Source organism: Homo sapiens, chromosome 10 (genome assembly GCF_000001405.40).
Source record: "Homo sapiens chromosome 10, GRCh38.p14 Primary Assembly".
In the NCBI taxonomy this organism is placed as follows: domain Eukaryota; kingdom Metazoa; phylum Chordata; class Mammalia; order Primates; family Hominidae; genus Homo; species Homo sapiens.
Genome location: NC_000010.11, coordinates 64,976,118 through 64,977,598, shown reverse-complemented (window position 1 = coordinate 64,977,598; position 1,481 = coordinate 64,976,118). Strand labels below are relative to the sequence as shown.

General features: G+C 29.1%; 1 annotated feature.

Annotated features, from left to right (window-relative positions):
* Window positions 345-514: an enhancer, noted in NCBI's record as "experimental_14639 CRE fragment used in MPRA reporter constructs". NCBI's record gives its function as "activates a minimal promoter by MPRAs in K562 erythroleukemia cells, with activity observed for the non-introgressed 10:66736928 variant allele {active_cell/tissue: K562}" and the evidence as "EXISTENCE:reporter gene assay evidence [ECO:0000049][PMID:34662402]".

The window sequence follows — 1,481 nt, the reverse complement described above, 5'->3', positions numbered from 1 at the left end:
TATACCTTTGGACTATTTTCTTAGAGGGTTTCTAGATGTAGTTTATACTGTTTTTTATATAATTCTATGACCATAATATGTTGTTAAAATTATAAATGTAATTTGCTTTCTTCGAAACTTCTTAAATATTTACATGTTATTTTATCATTTCTAAACATTAATTTAGACTTTCATTATATTTATTTCAATAGAATAGTGTTATTTACTTAGCCAATTCACTATTTGAGATATTTAGAATGCATTTCATTTAGTATATTTTGAATTTATAAAAAATGCTTTATATTTGCCATATATTCTTTTAGCAATATATATTTAATATGTATTTAGGCTAGAAGAGAATTCTTGTGATTCCATAAAGCTATTAATGTTCAAATTTTTCCATTTTTTAACTTTTCGCTTTACATATTTTTTAAATAAGAAAAATTGTATTTCCCTTATTTTAATGCTAATAAATCCAGAACCCCAAATTCTCGTTAGTTATACTAAAAATCTAAAATAGAACTCAGATCTTTATGTATTTTTCAATACTATACTATTGTGTATTCAAATATATTATTGAGAAAATATCATGTTTCTGTCTTTGTATATTCTCATGTGTTTGAATATTATTTTAAAATTTTTGACAGAAATTGATTTGATGGTCTCCCCTTAAGTGCAATTTAATTACCCGTCATTGCTCTAGAATAGTCTAATAGATTTAAGTTCACAGATGAGACAATCTTTTCCCCATAGAATCTATAAAATGATATTTTAGTAAAGTATAATATATTTACAGCTACATCAAGCTATTTATTATGTATGTATTAATCATACATACTTAATAGCTTATGTATGCACTTAATAATAATAGTATTACACACATACTTAATAGCTTGATGAATTTTCACAAAGTAAGCATGTACATCTAACCCAAAGTAAGTTCAAAGAGAGTATTAGCTGCCCAGACACCCCTCCCATCTTCTGAGTTTAAACCTTCCTTCAGTTACTACAGGGCCCCAGCTACCCCCAAACCCCCAAACATACATACACCAAACACGGGTAACTATTCTTCCGACTTGTATCACCACAGTTTGCCTGTTATTAAGTGGAATTCTACAACATACACACTTACATGTCTGGTTTCTTTCACTCAAAAATATATTATTCATCCATGTTTGTGCATGTAGTTTTATTCTACCTGTATGCCACCAATAGGGAAACTATGACTTATAGGTCAAATCTCATACTTCAACCACCTGTTTTTGTCAATAAAGTTTTATTGAAACACAGCTATGCTGATTTATTTACATACTTTCTATCGCTGCTTTCACACCACAATGGCAGAGATGAGCAGTTGTGACAGAGACCTTATGGCCTGCAATGCCTAAATTATGTACTATCTGGTTTCCTATAGGAAAAATTTGCTGATACCAATCTGTGATACATATGGTACAATTTGGTTTATTTCTAACTTGGGACTTTTTTTAGTAGTGCTGCTATGA